The sequence below is a fragment of the Homo sapiens genome, chromosome 9 (assembly GCF_000001405.40).
Source record: "Homo sapiens chromosome 9, GRCh38.p14 Primary Assembly".
NCBI classification, from domain to species: Eukaryota; Metazoa; Chordata; class Mammalia; order Primates; family Hominidae; genus Homo; species Homo sapiens.
In genome coordinates, this window is record NC_000009.12 from 34,021,481 (window position 1) to 34,037,531 (window position 16,051).

At 44.5% G+C, this 16,051-nt stretch overlaps 1 protein-coding gene across 9 annotated transcripts in view, besides 2 other annotated features; it reads right to left on the reverse strand.

Annotated features, from left to right (window-relative positions):
- UBAP2 (ubiquitin associated protein 2) overlaps nucleotides 1–16,051 on the reverse strand; it is a 127,507-nt gene that overhangs the window by 99,788 nt on the left and 11,668 nt on the right. The gene's annotated exons all lie outside the window — the stretch shown is intronic.
- Nucleotides 6,598–6,798: a silencer, noted in NCBI's record as "peak7224 fragment used in MPRA reporter construct". NCBI's record gives its function as "represses an SCP1 promoter by STARR-seq MPRAs in K562 erythroleukemia cells {active_cell/tissue: K562}" and the evidence as "EXISTENCE:reporter gene assay evidence [ECO:0000049][PMID:32103011]".
- Nucleotides 11,760–12,753: an enhancer, noted in NCBI's record as "H3K4me1 hESC enhancer chr9:34033238-34034231 (GRCh37/hg19 assembly coordinates)". NCBI's record gives its function as "activates a minimal SCP1, AML or CMV promoter by ChIP-STARR-seq in primed H9 embryonic stem cells {active_cell/tissue: H9 hESC(primed)}" and the evidence as "EXISTENCE:reporter gene assay evidence [ECO:0000049][PMID:30033119]".

Sequence of the window (16,051 nt, forward strand, 5' to 3'; positions counted from 1 at the left end):
AGAGAACAAGGTTAATTGTTTTGCCATGATTCCATTTATTTTTAAAGCATTCTCTCAGATATGAATAAATGCATACGAACACACTGTTTTAAAACTGTGATGCATTTAAACAAATGTAAGGCATATCTGTATTTGAGAAAGAATCCATTTGATTTTTTTTTTTTTTTTTTTGAGACGGAGGCTCGCTCCATCACCCAGGCTGGAGTGCAGTGATGTGATCTCAGCTCACTGCAACCTCCGTCTCCCGGGTTCAGGCGATTCTCCTGTCTCAGCCTCCCAAGCAGCTGGGACTACAGACGCCTGCCACCACGCCCGACTAATTTTTGTATTTTTAGTAGAGATGGGGTCTCAACTTGTTGGTCAGGCTGGTTTCGAACTCCAGACCTCGGGTGATCCAACCGCCTCAACCTCCCAAAGTGCTGCAATTACAGACATGAGCCACTGTGCCCGGCCCCATTGGATTATTTTTAAAATCACCTTCAGGCCAGGCACCGTGGCTCACACCTGTAATCCCAACACTTTGGGAAGCCAAGGCAGACAGATCACCTGATGACAGGAGTTCAAGACCAGCCTGGCCAACGTGGTGAAACCCTACCTGTATTAAAAATTCAAAAATTAGCCGGGCATGGTGGCGCACCTCTGTAATCCCAACTACTTAGGAGGCTGAGGCAGGAGAATCGCTTGAAGCCAGGAGGAGGAGGTTGCAGTGAGCTGAGATTGCACCACTGCACTCCAACCTGGGCAACAAGAGCGAGACACCATCTAAAAAAATAAAAATAAAAAAATCACCTTCAGCACTAATACTCTGCAATTCCATCTTAAGTATCTAAAGTGAAGCATCCAAGCTGGGCAAGGTGGCATGCACCTGTAAGTCCCAGCTATTCAGGAGGCTGAGGCAGGAAGATCACTTAACCCACAGTTCAAATCCAGGCTAGGCAACACAGCAAGACCCCTTTTTTTTTTTTTTTTTTTTTTAAGACACAGTCTGGCTTTGTTGCCCAGGCTGGAGTGCAGTGGCACGATCTCGGCCCAGCAACTTCTGCCTTCCAGGTTCAAGTGATTCTCCCACCTCAGCCTCCCAAGTAGCTGGGACTATAGGTATGTGCCACCGTGCCCAGCCGATTTTTTTTGTATTTTTAGTAGAGATGGGGTTTCACCATGTTGGCCAGGCTGGTCTTGAACTCCTGACCTCAAGTGATCCACCAGCCTCAGCCTCCAAAGTGCTGGGATTACAGGTGTGAGCCATCATGCCCAGCCACCTATCTCCTTAAATAAATACATTTTAAGAAAAGAATAAAACAGAATTAAGCATCTAATCAAAAGCTAACTTGTTGAGTAGTATTCCTACCACAAAACCTTTTTAAGAAGTGAGTAGTTTACTCATAGATTTCCAGTTCTGTTGATTGGATTATCTGATCTTTTTCTCACTGTTTATTCTCAGTGACCCCATTTATGAAAATAATCGGCTGGGTGCAGTGGCTCACGCCTGTAATCCCAGCACTTTGGGAGGCCGAGGCAGGCGGATCACGAGGTCAGGAGATGGTGACCATCCTGGCTAATACAGTGAAACCCTGTCTCTACCAAAAATACAAAAAATTAGCCAGGCATGGTGGCACGCGCCTGTAGTCCCAGCTACTCGGGAGGCTGAGGCAGAAGAATCGCTTGAACCCAGGAGGCAGAGGTTGCAGTGAGCTGAGATCGCACCACTCCACTCCAGGGAAACAGAGCAAGACTGTCTCAAAAAAAAAAAAAAAGAAAGAAAATAATCTAGGTGAAATAACAAAATGAGACTTTCTCCATACAGGAGTGCCATCTGGTGATAAAAATCTGCATGTACAGAAGAAATATACTTAACCCATATTCAATGTACATTAATTTTTTGATTTACAGAAAAATGACTTAATCTTTATAGCCTCACTACTATAACCAAACATTTTGATATAATGTACATGAATCCTCACTTGTCAAGGAAGAAAACCATAACTCTTTGTTATAACGCAAACTATTAAAATTTTACTGGTCCATGTTCACAGTATCAACATTAAGACTATATCTCCTTCCAATCATCAATTCTTAATATTCCACAATGAATACGTAATTAGCCTATAAATAATGACCCGGTTGCATGGCTAAACCAGAATAGTTGCTTTGTGAAACATAAAAACTACATGGCTTACTTTATTGTTTGGAAAAAGTTTTTCTCTTAATTAAGGTTTACTGCTCTGGGTTATATATTCATAAATTGTTACTACAAAGACTTCTAGCTTAAAAATAGCAAATACAGGCCGGGTGCAGTAGCTCACGCCTGTAATCCCAGCACTTTGGAGGCCAAGGCAGGCGGATCACGAGGTCAGGAGATCGAGGCCATCCTGGCTAATAAGGTGAAACCCCATCTCTACTAAAAATACAAAAAATTAGCCGGGCATGGTGGCACGCACCTGTAGTCCCAGCTACCCAGGAGGCTGACGCAGGAGAATCGCTTGAACCTGGGAGGCGGAGTCTGCAGGGAGCCGAGATGGCGCCATTGCACTCCAGTCCGGGTGACAGAGCAAGACTCTGTCTCAAAAAAAAATAAAAATAAAAATAGCAAATACAAGGATGGGCGCGGTGGCACACGCCTGTAATCCCAGCATTTTGGGAGGCCGAGCCGGCTGGATCACCTGAGGTCGGGAGTTCAAGACCAGCCCGACCATCTCTACTAAAAATACAAAATTAGCCGGGCGTGGGGGCACATGCCCATAATCCCAGCTACTCAGGAGGCTGAGGCAGGAGAATCGCTTGAACCCGGGAGGAAGAGGTTGCGGTGAGCCAAAATTGCGCCATTGCACTCCAGCCTGGGAAACAACAGCAAAACTCTGTCTCAAAAAAAAAAAAAATAGCAAATACATTCTTTGAAAAATAAAAATAATTGTAAGGGCCTCAGGACATCCAAGAATGCATGCTTAAATAAATTCAGATTAACTTGTCTTCTGTCAGTTGTGCCTCTCCACACTATCACTGAAATGTTATAATACCTAATTCCCTATTCATAAAAAGTCTTAATATTAAAGATGTCCAGCAAAAAAATTTCCAGAGATGAAACAGGTTTCGCACAACAATCACAGGGGATGGGGGATGTGACTGAAATCTTCTGGAAAAACGGGTCAGAAAATAACTTTAACAGGATGCATGATTCAACAGACAAATTTTCCCGTATTAATTTTACATAAAACTTCTGATAAAGCCAGGCGCGGTGGCTAATGCCTGTCATCTCAGCACTTTGGGAGGCTGAGGCGGGTGGATCACTTGCGGTCAGGAGTTCCAGACCAGCCTGGCAAACATGGCGAAACCCTGTCTCTACTAAAACTACAAAAATTAGCTGGGTGTGGTGGCGTGAGCCTGTAATCCCAGCTATTTGGGAGGCTAAGGCAGGAGAATCACTTGAACCCGAGAGGCGGAGGTTGCAGTGAACCGAGATCATGCCACTACACTCCAATCGGGGCGACAGAACAAGACTCTGTCTCCCCAAAAAAAAAAAACTTCTGATAATTGTGAATCCATTAAATCAAGGTAAAAGCGTAAGTTACCAAAATATTCTTCAAGACCCTTAAAAATTGTTACCACCACTGAACTGTAAAAATGACTGAGACATGGAAACTAGACCGTAAAAATCAACACCTTCAACTAACATACTGTTAGGAGGAACTTCTATGTCCTCCTTTTCTGGGAAATGGAGCTGTGTGTAGTAAATAGGAATGCTTCTACAACAAGTACCCAGTTGCCAGACCATAGGAATTCAGTGTACACTTGTGTTCCATCATCTATCACTTTCCACTCCCAAGAGTTCTACTACACTGGAACAGGTTCCAAGAGAATTCTCAGAATAGAAACAGACAAGAGCAAAAGATTCTAAAAATAATCCAGTAGAAACTCAAACATACCTATCTCAAGTTCTTGAGGGGCAGGAAGCACCAGGCTTACTTCAATCTATCCAACCAAATTTTGAAACCCGTATTTATCTCACCTCAAAGTGAATTAAAGATGTGATAGATTTTAACACAGGTAAAGAACTGCTGCTACATTTTTAACTTCTTTAGAAACAAAATCAGCAAAATATAATATAAAGCTTCCTATTAACGATTAAAGTGAAAAAATTGTCTAAATGTAATGAGGAAAGAAAGTCTCCGGCCGAATAAACCAACCTGATAAAACTACAAAGATATTCTCTATGAAAGGAATAGTTTTGGAAAAAAGTTTTAACTGCCTAAAAAGTTTTGTTTCCGTTTTTGTTTTCTTTTTCATAGACATACGATCTTCCCATATTTGCCTAGGCTGGTCTCAAACTCCTGGGCTCAGGTGATCCTCCCACCTTGGCCTCCCAAAGAACTAGGATTACAGGCCTGAGCTACCATGCCCGGTTTAACTGCTGTTTTTTTCAAGGACCTTTCTGAAGATAAGATACCTCAGTGAAACAGCCGCATTTTCAAGTGATCTCAGTTTAGACTTAACTGAAAATGGTTGACTTAACAACCACCAACATTTCTGTTAAAGCTTACATAAGCACAAATTCATCTAACTTTAAGGCATACAAAAAACACGGTCGGGTAAAAACTTTTCTAAAAACCATGTATATACCCTAAACGAAAAGCAAGGACACATTTTATCATTCTGAAAAGTTACAGAACACTTGCTGACAACATACTGAGAAGAGGGAAGATTTCAACAGACATTTAATAAAAGTTTGAACAGTTAATTAAATCCCAAACTACATACTTACACTGCATGTATTTAAGACAGCATCACAAAGCATTGATTGGAAGATAGTTCTAAAACCAGGATGTTGACACACTTGTGCAAAGTATCTCAGCTACTACATCAAATAAATTTACGTTTCAGGAACAGAAAAACTAATGTTTTTTTCAAACCAAATATAATTCAGATGACATGAATTACATAATGGGCTAAGGGTTCAACTACTAAAAACAGGATACACAATTTATGTTAAAGAAGCAAGTCTTCATCAAGAATGTCCAGAGATGCTGTTCACTGAGTCATGAGACCAGTGGTGCAGGGTCTATCTCAAACTGGCAAGGATGGGTCTCAGGTCCTTCATCTATATATGTCCACTCATTCCCAAAATCTAAAACCAATGGTAATGACAATACTAGCAGAAAGCACATACCATTCACTATGTGCCAGACACCATTCTAAGCACTTTATATGTACAGTATTAAGTCACTAATCTTTCCAACACTCTAGAGTACACATTACTTTACTCCCATTTTACAGAGAGGAAACTAAGATACACAGAGAATCACAGCTAGTAAGTGGTGAAGGCAGTATTCAAACCCAGGACATTTGGCTCTACAGTGTGTGCACTTAACTATTATGCTATGTTGTAAGGCTAACTGTTCAGTCACAGATAAATAATAGTTCCCAATTCAGCTTCTTCTTCTATACAACAGCATAACTATTGTTGGCATCACCTGCAAAGCTTGTGCCTGATGACAAAGATCTGGTCTAGATCAGATCTCACCTAGCTTCTCAGCCTTTCAGATACCCATATGTTCTATACTGGTATATTTCTGTGACCACTACTATTATTTTTGTTTAATTTCTAATCTGTGTTCCCGCATTTTCTACTAAGAAAACAGTCAATATTCTCAACCTTCTCTGCAGAGGAAATTCATTTATTCATACCTGCAGAAGACAAAGCTCAGATTAAGAATCTGAGGCCAAGGCCAGGTACGGTGGCTCACACCTGTAATCCCGGCACTTTGGGAGGCTGAGGCGGGAGGATTACTTGAGGTCAGGAGTTTGAGATGAGCCTGGCCAACATAGTGAAACCCTACCCTACTAAAAATACAAAAAATAAGCCAGGTGTGGTGGCGCATGCCTGTAATCCCAGCAAATCGGGAGGCTGAGGCAGGAGAATCCACTTGAATTTATTTATTAAAAAATAAACAAAAGAATCTGGCCTGGCATAGTGGCTCATGCCTGTAACTCCAACAGTCTGGGAGGCCAAGAGGGGGAGGATCGCCTGAGCCCAGGAGTTTAAAACCAGCCTGGGCAACACAGTGAGACCCCATTTCTATTATTTAAAAAAGAAAAAAATAGGCCAGGCACGGTGGCTCACGCCTGTAATCCCAGCACTCTGGGAGGCCAAGGCAGGCGAGTCATGAGGTCAAGAGATCGAGACCATCCTGGCTAACACGGCGAAACCCCATCTCTACTAAAAATACAAAAAAAAAATTAGCCGGGGGTGGTGGCGGGTACCTGTAGCCCCAGCTACTCAGGAGACTGAGGCAGGAGAATGGTGTGAACCTGGGAGGCAAGAGCTTGCAGTGAGCCGAGATTGCACCACTGCACTCCAGGCTGGGCGACAGAGCGAGACTCCATCTCAAAAAAAAAAAAAAGAAAAGAAAAGAATCTCAACTAAATTAGGAGGCCCAGAACAGCCACCAACACAAAGTCTACACCCGTAATCGAGGAGAGAACAAGGTATCTAGGGTGCCAAGAAACTCAACTATGAGATCCAATTCCATGCAGCTCAACTGCTTGTACCCTGCATGCCAGGAGCTGAACAAGCTGATACTTTTATTCTCTGCAGCTGTTAAGGGCAGGGTCAGGCCTCTAGCAGCTGATGGACAAGGTTGAACTCCCCTACACCCACACTTCGCTGACAGAAGAATCACAAAGTTATCTGCTGTTCCATGGATATAACCTGCCCATGGAAAGGATGAGTGCTGGTGAACTCAAACACTATAGGACATCAAAATTTATTTGATATCGTCACAATTCTCTTTCAGGTTACCTAAGGCCACGAAGGGAATTAATTGCCCATAGCTGTTTGCACACATCTGTCCTATTCCTATCCTGCTAATTCAGCTGTAAACCCTGTCTTATTTATTTATTTATTTATTTATTTATTTATTTTGAGATGGAGTTTCACTGTTGTCACCCAGGCTGGAGTGCAGTGGCGCAACACTGGCTCACTGCAACCTCTGCCTCTTGGGTTCAAGCGATTAGCCTGCCTCAGCCTCCCAAGTAGCTGGGATTACAGGCACCCGCCACCACGCCCGGCTAATTTTTTGTATTTTTGGTAGAGATGGGGTTCACCATGTTGGCCAGGCTGGTCTCAAACTCCTGACCTTAAGTGATCCGCCTACCTCAGGCTCTTAAAGTGCTGGGATTACAGACACGAGCCACTGCGACCAGCCTTAAACCTTGTCTTTTGCCCAGCAGGTAACCAGGACTCTTCACCCTGGAATCTCTTGAAAAGCATGTAATTATTCATAACCAGTCTTCACCACTACTTATAACAGTTCTCTCTCTCCTACAAAAAGGAAAAAAAAAAGCAAAAAAGCCTATACTATAAAGCAGGGATCCCCAATCCCCAACTCCCAGGCTGCAGACTGGGGTAATTAGGAACTGGGCCGCACAGCAGGAGGTGAGCAAACCTGGGCGGCGTGGCAAGTCCTCGTCTATACAATAAATTTTTTTTTAATTAGCCACGCTTGGTGGCGCACACCTGGAATCCCACCCATTCAGGAGGTTGAGGTGGTAGGAATCCTTGAGCTTAGGAGATCAAGGCTGCAGTGTGCTATGATCATGTCACCGCACTCCAGACTGGGCAATAGAGTAAGACCACATCTCCTAAAAAATAAAAAAAACTCTTAACAGTTCCTAAAGAAATTAAACAGTTATGATAAAGACCAAGCAATCCTACTCCTGGGTATGCACCCAAGAGAACTGAAAACACGTTCACCTAAAAATGTGTACATAGGGCCAGGCGTAGTGGCTCAGACCTGTAATCCAGCACTTTGGGAGGCTGAGGAGGGTGGATCACCAGAAGGTCAAGAGTTTGAGACCAGCCTGGCCAACATGGTGAAACCTTGTCTCTACTAAAAATATAAAAAATTAGCTGGATGTGGTGGCGGGTACCTATAATCCCAGCTACTCGGGAGGCTGAGGCAGGAGAATTGCTTGAACCCAGGAGGCGGAGGTTGCAATGAGCCAAGATTATGCCACGGCACTCCAGCCTGGACAACAAGAGCAAAACTTCTCAAAAAAAAAAAAGAAAATGTATACATAGGCCAGGCCCAGTGGTTCACACCTGTAATCCCAATACTTTGGGAGGCCATGGTGGGAGGACCACTTGGGCTCAGGAGTTCGAGACCAGCCTGGGCAGCATAGCAAGACCTTGTCTCTATTTAAAAAAATAAAAAGAAGAAGAAGGAAGAAATGCGGCCAGGCACGGTGGCTCACACCTGTAAACCCAGCACTTTGGGAGGCCAAGGCAGGTGGATCATGAGATCAGGAGTTCGAGATCAGCCTGGCCAACATGGTGAAAACCCATCTCTACTAAAAATACAAAAATTAGGCCGCTGTGGTGGGGGCACCTGTAATCCCAGCTACTCGGGAGGCTGAGGCAAGAGAACTGCTTGAACCCGAGAGGCAGAGGTTGCAGTGAGCTGAGATTGCGCCACTGCACTCCAGCCTGGGTGACAGAGCAAGACTCCATCTCGAAAAAAAAAAAAAGAAAGAAATACATACATAGGCCAGGCACGGTGGCTCACGCCTGTAATCCCAACACTTTGAGAGGCTGTGGCAGGAGAGCAGTGTGGGGCCAGGAGTTCAAGACCAGCCTGGGCAACATAGAGAGAACCCGTCTCTATAAAAAAGTTTAAAAATCAGCCAGGTGAGCCGGGCGCGGTGGCTCACGCCTGTAATCCCAGCACTTTGGGAGGCTGAGGCGGGCAGATCACGGGGTCAGGAGATCGAGACCACCCTGGCTAACACGGTGATACCCCATCTCTACTAAAAATACAAAAACAAAATTAGCCAGGCGTGGTGGCGGGCACCTGTAGTCCCAGCTACTTGGGAGGCTGAGGCAGGAGAATGGCGTGAACCCGGAAGGCGGAGGTTGCAGTGAGCCGAGATCGCGCCACTGCACTCCAGCCTGGGCGACAGAGCCAGATTCCATCTCAAAAACAAACAAACAAACAAAAAAACTGGCCCGGTATGACAGAGCACACCTGTGGTCCCAGCTACTCAGAAGGCTGAAATGGGAGGATCACTTGAGCCTGGGAGGTCAAGGCTGCAGTATGCCGTGATCACGCCAGTGCACTCCTAGTACAGTGCCCAAGAGATGAGTGAGACCCTGTTTCAAAAATAAAATAAGGGGCCAGGCACGGTGGCTCACGCCTGTAATCCCAGCACTTTGGGAGGCCCGGGCGCATGGATCACAAGGTCAGGTGATCGAGACCATCCTGACTAACATGGTGAAACCCCGTCTCTACTAAAAGTATTTTTAAAAAATTAGCTGGGCATAGTGGCAGGCGCCTGTAGTCCCAACAACCCAGAAGGCTGAGGCAGGAGAATGGCATGAACCCAGGAGGCGGAGCTTGCAGTGAGCCAAGATCGCACCACTGCACTCCAACCTGGGCGACAGAGCAAGACTCATCTCAAAAAAATTAAACTAAAAATAAAAATAAAATAAGGGCTAGGCACTGTAGCTCCTGCCTATAATCCCAGCATTTTGGGAGGCCAAGGCAGGCGGATCACCTGAGGTCAGGGTTTCAAGACTAGCCTGGCAAGGTGGGAGTCAGGAGTTTGAGACCAGCCTGGCCAAATGGTAAAACCCTCTCTCTACTAAACATACAAAACTTAGCCGGGCATGGTGGCACGGACCTGTAATCCTACTACTCGGGAGGCTGAGGCAGAGGAATCGCTTGAACCCAGGAAGCGGAGGTTGCAGTGAGTTGAGATCGCACTACTGCACTCCAGCCTGTGCTACAAGAGCAAAACTCAGTCTCAAAAAAAAAAAAAAAAGGCCAGCTTGGCCAACATGGCAAAACCCCGTCTCTACTGAAAATACAAATTTAGCCAGGCGTGGTGGCATGTGTCTGTAATCTTGGCTTACTGCAACCTCTACTCCCAGGTTCAAGCTATTCTCCTGCCTTGGCCTCCTGAGTAGCTGGGATTACAGATGCCCACCACCACACCTGGCTAATTTTTGTATTTTTAGTAGAGACAGGTTTCGACATGTTGGCCAGGCTGGTCTCAAACTCCTGACCTCAGGTGATCCACCCGCCTCGGCCTCCCAAAGTGCTGGGATTACAGGCATGAGCCACCACGCCCGGCCTTAACTTGCTTTCCTAAGTAAATTCAAGCGATTATCCTGCCTGAGCCTCCCAGTAGCTGGGATCACAGGTATGTACCACCATGCCCGGCTAATTTTTGAATGTATGAGGCTGAGGCTTCACTGAGCTGAGATCACACCACTGCACTCTGGCCTGGGCAACACAGCAAGACCCTGTCCCAAACCAAAAAAAAAAAAAAGAAAGAAAAAAAGAGGATCTATTTCCTATGTATTAACAAAAAGTGCTAATAGGCCAGGTGTGGTGGTTCATGCCCGTAATCTCAACACCTTGGGAAGCCAAGGAGGGAGGACTTCTTGAGCCCAGGAGTTTGAGACCAGCCTGGGTAACATAGCAAGACCTCCTCATCTCTACTAAAAAATACATTTAAAAATTAGCCAGGTATGGTGGCGCATGCCTGTGGTCCCACCTCCTTGGGAGGCTGAGGCGGGAGGATTGCTTGATCCCAGGATTTCGAGGCTACAGTGAGCTATGATCAGCCTGGGCAACATAGCATGACCCTATAGCACCAAAAAATTTAAAAAGTGCTAATAAGTTGCCAACTTAACATCCTCATCCATGTCAAATTCTATCCCTAAACGTAGCTAAACACGGCTCTCTCGCCAACCATGTTCAGCTGCAGGAATCCCCATCTATCCTCTCTTGAAAGGATGAAAGTAAGAACAAATTAACTCATAGATTTAATACCAACAGCACAATAACCTTGGTCTGTGATAAAGACTCAGGCATATTTCTGTCTTTATACACTCACACTCCCTCTGCCCTGAGTCTCCAGCTCTGCATCCACCAAAGTAAGATTAACTTCCCACTAGTTACTCTGTCCCAAGGCTTCACAGGAAAGGGGATAAAGGAGGAAAACCACCTTCCCCCTTTGGCCAGTCAGAAGGAAGGAAGATATCAAAATATAGGCTAACCTACCTCAGCTTTCTTAGGGATACAAGTTCAATAAAACAATTTTTCTTCTACTACAGTCATGATGACCACAACCAGTCACAGAGATTAAGAATCTTTGTTTCTTAGGCTGGGTGTGGTGGCTCATGCCTGTAATTCCAGCACTTTGGGAGGCCGAGGCAGGCGGATCACTTGAGGTCCGGAGTTTGAGATCAGCCTGGCCAACATGTCAAAACCCTATCTTTACAAACAATACAAAAATTAGCTGGGCGTGGTTGCACGCACCTGTAATCTCAGCTAGTCCAGAGGCTGGGGCACGAGAATCACTTGAACCTAGGAGGCAGAGGTTGCAGTGAGCCGCCACTGTACTCTGGCCTGGGCAACAGAGCAAGACCCTGTCTTCAAAAAAAAAAAAAAAAAAATCAACATCTTTGCTTCTTGATACTCTAAGCCACAATGTTTAACTCTTGCTTCTTATTTTCAAGAACAGAAAAACCATGACAGTACTCAACACACAGTACAACTACTATGGAAAACAATTTGGAGGTTCTGGAAAAAACTAAAAATTGAGCTACCATATGATCCAGCAATCTCACTGCTGGGTATATACCCAAAATAAGGGAAATCAGTATATTGAAGAAATATCTGCATTCCTGTTTGTTGCAGCACTGTTTACAATAGCTAAGATTTGGAAGTAACCTAAGTGTCTATCAACAGGTGAATAGATAAAACATGGTACTTATACACAACAGAGTACTACTTAGCCATAAAAAAGAATGAGATCCTGTCATTTGAAACAACGTGGATAGAACCGGAGATCATTATGTTAAGTGAAATAACCCAGAAACAGAAAGACAAACATCACATGTTCTCACTTAGTTGTGGGAACTAAAAATCAAAACAATTGAACTCATAATCACAGACAGTAGAAGGATGGAGTATCAGAGGCTAGGAAGGGTAGTGGGGGACTTGGGGGAGGTAGGGATGGTTATTGAGTACAAAAATAATAAGACCCACTATTTGATAGCACAATAGGGTAACTATAGTCAATAACTTAATTGTATACTTTTTTTTTTTCTCCTGAGACAGGGTCTGACTCTTTCGCCCAGGCTGAAGCGCAGTGGTGCAATCTCGGTTCCCTGCAACCTCTGCCTCCTGCGCTCAAGAGATTCTCCCACCTCAACCTCCCAAGCAGCTGCGACTACAGTCAAGCATCAAATCAATTCTTTTTTTTTTTTTTTAAACAGAGTTTCACTCTGTTGCCCAGGCTGGAGTGCAATGGCATGATCTCAGCTCACTGCAACCTCTGCCTCCCAGGTTCAAGCAATTCTCCTGTCTCAGCCTCCCAAGTAGCTGGGATTACAGGCACCCACCACCATGCCTGGCTAATTTTTGCATTTTTAGTAGAGACGGGGTTTCGTCATGTTGGCCAAGCTGTTCTTGAACTCCTGACCTCAGGTGATCCACCTGCCTCAGCCTCCCAAAGTCCTAGGATTAAAGGCATGACCCACCACGCCCGGCTTCAAATCAATTCTTAATGAAGACCAGATGACCTAAAATAATAGTTCTCATTATTCACATCTCTGCAGGAACCATTTCAACATTTGGCACTCAAATGTCACAAATTCACAATTTATTTCACAAGTGATTTATAAAAGTTCAACATACCTATTAAGTCATTTTGAGACAGTTACATCATCTCTAGGTTTTATTACAAGCCTAAAATATAAATACTGATTTAATACTTCAGAAGTTTTTCATTATAGTTCTTCAACTTTCCTCATGAATCCAGGATATCAAGTCCTGGTTTTTCTTTTTTTAGTAAAAGTATATTGCTTTTATTTTACTGACATCCTTATTACTTAATCACTCATGCCAAAAGCAACTTTCTTAAAAATGTCTGTTACCTAAAGAATGTATCTATCAAAACAAAGTCATGCCATCCATTTAAACATTAACACACCTGCCACATAAGTATCTGGTCCAGTTTTAATCCAAATACAAAATTCCTTAATAAAGAAAACACTACACTAATGAGAAATACCCCACATCCTTATATGTCTAAAGAACCACTCAACTGGCTGGGCACAGTGGCTCACGCCTGTAATCCCAGCACTTTGGGAGGCACAGGCGGGCGGATCAGGAGGTCAGGAGATCAAGACCATCCTGGCTAACATGGTGAAACCCTGTTTCTACTAAAAATACAAAAATTAGCCAGGTGTAGTGGCATGAGCCTATAGTCCCAGCTACTGGAGAGGCTGAGGGAGGAGAATTGCTTCAACCTGGGAGGCGGAGGTTGCAGTGAGTCAAGATCACGCCACTGCACTCCAGCCTGGGAAACAGCGAGACTCAATCTCAAAACAAACAAACAAACAAAAAAAAAACGAATCGCTCAACTGTTCTCTACATCCGGATTACTCTCAAAAACAAAGGCTCAGAAAAATTACCTTCCAAGCACTCCTGAAACTTCATGTTCTATCTTGTAAGCAACAACTACATAAACTGTATTTCACAAAATGAATACATTCACTGCCTCCATTTCCTCACTAAACATCTCCTTAACCTTCTGTATTCTGGTTTCCATCACCCTATCACTCTAACAGTAGGAAAAATGCTACTCCCTAGGTCACCACTGGTCTCCTAATTGTCAAATCTTTCTTCTGTTCTCATTCTTTCATCTGTCTCTGTCATTCAAAACATTTCATACGGCTAGGCGCGGTGGCTCACGCCTGTAATCCCAGCACTTTGGGAGGCCGAGGCGGGCGGATCACCTGAGGTCAGGAGTTCAAGACCAGCCTGGCCAACATGGTGGAACCCCATCTCTACAAAAGTACAAAAATTAGCCGGGCATGATGGCGGGTGCCTGTAATCCCAGCTACTTGGGAGGCTGAGGTGGGAGAACAGCTTGAACCTGGGAGGTGGAGGTTGCAGTGAGCCGAGATCGCGCCACTGCACTCCAGTCTGGGTGACAGAGCGAGACTCCATCTAAAAAAAAAAAAAAATATATATATATAAAGATTAGCCAGGTTTGTGGTGGCACGTGCCTGTAATTCCAACTACTCAGAGGAGGCTGAGGCACAAGAATCACTTGAACCTGGGAGGCAGAAGTTGCAGTGAGTCGAGATCGTGCTACTGTACTCCAACCTGGGATATAAAGCGAGACTCCATCTCAAAAATAAAGAAAGAAACAAACAAACACTATCAACAAAAACTGTCAACTTCTGTTCACAAACCATCAACTCCTCAATAAAATGCAAACTGTTTATTCCTTCCAATCCCTACACTTGGTCAAACCAGCCTTGGTATTCTCCTAAATCGTCCCTGCCTTTTTGCCTTCACGTTCCACAGGCATGTTTACTCAAGGACATACTGCACATTCTCTCTTTTTTTTTTTGAGTGGGGGAAATCGCTTGAGCCCAGGTAGGTTAAGGCTGCAGTGAGCCTGATCGCATCACTGCATTCCTGAGTGACAGAGTAAGACCCTGTCTCAAACAAAATAGAACAAAGCAAAATAACAGCAAATTCTAATAAAACTAAACTCTGAATACAACATTTAAAGTGTTTTAACAATTTAATTGTAACTTCAGGAATTTGATACTTTTTTCTTTTTTTTTTTTTGAGACGGAGTTTCACTCTTGTTGCCCAGGCTGGAGTACAATGGCATGATCTTGGCTCACTGCAACCTCCGCCTCCCAGGTTCAAACGATTCTCCTCCTCCTCAGCCTCCCAAGTAGCTGGGGTTACAGGCACCCACCGCCATGCCCGGATAATTTTTTATAATTTAATAGAGATGGGGTTTCTCCATGTTGGTCAGGATGGTCTCAAACTCCCGACCTCAGGTGATCTGCCCGTCTCGGCCTCCCAAAGTGCTGGGATTACAGGCGTGAGCCACCGTGCCCAGCCTTGATACTTGATTCTATAGGAAGAATCTAAGAAAACTAAGGCTCAGCCTCCCCAGCTCAAGGAATCCTTGCCAAATACTCAAGCTCAATTCAACAATGCTTTTCTCTGTCACAGGCAGCAGTACCCTGGAATCCTATACACACATTTAAACTGTGTGTGTCTGCTCACCAACATGTAAGCAACTGAAGATCAGGAACCTACATTATTCATCTGTATTCTAGCATCTAACATTGTTGACAACTGGCAGCAATAAATATTCGTTCAAGTGAACACCTATAGAGTAGCATATACCATTTGCGCAGGGAGAACCATCATTCAGGCCTAATCTGCAGTAATGTAAACTTAGCATTCACAGAAATAACAGAGAATATACTACCTTAAGTTTTTCTCTTTTTTTTTTTTTTTTTTTTGAGACAAGGTCTCATTCTGTCTGCCCAGGCTGGAGCACAGTGGTGCGATCTCAGGTACCTCACTGACCTCTGCCTCCCCTCCAGGGTTCCAGCAATTCTCCCGCCTCAGCCTCCCAAGTAGGTGGGACTATAGGCATGTGCCACCACACCCAGCTATTTTTTTTTTTTTTTTTTTTTTTTTTGAGAGAGTCTCGCTCTATCACCCGGGCTGGAGTGCAGTGGCACAATCTCGGCTCGCTGCAACCTCCGACTTCTGGGATCAAGCGATTCTCCTGCCTCGGCCTCCGGATTAGCTGAGATTACAGAGGCGTGCCACCATGCCTGGCTAATTTTTTGTATTTTTAATAGAGACGGGGTTTCACCGTTTTAGCCAGGATGGTCTCGATCTCCTGACCTCGTGATCCGCCCGCCTCGGCCCCCCAAAGTGCTGGGATTACAGGCGTGAGCCACCGCGCCCAGCCCACACACAGCTAATTTTTGTATTTTTTGGTAGAGGTAGGGTTTCACCATGTTGGCCAGGCTGGTCTCAAACACCTGACCTCAAGTGATCCACTTGCCTTGGTCTCCCAAAGAGCTGGGATTACAGGAGAGAGCCACTGCGCCCAGCCCATATACTACCTTAAGTTTTTACTAATGTAATTGTTGCCTCACTCCCACAAATCAAAGGAAACTTTCATCAGTGTTTCAAAACTTAGGGTTGGCATA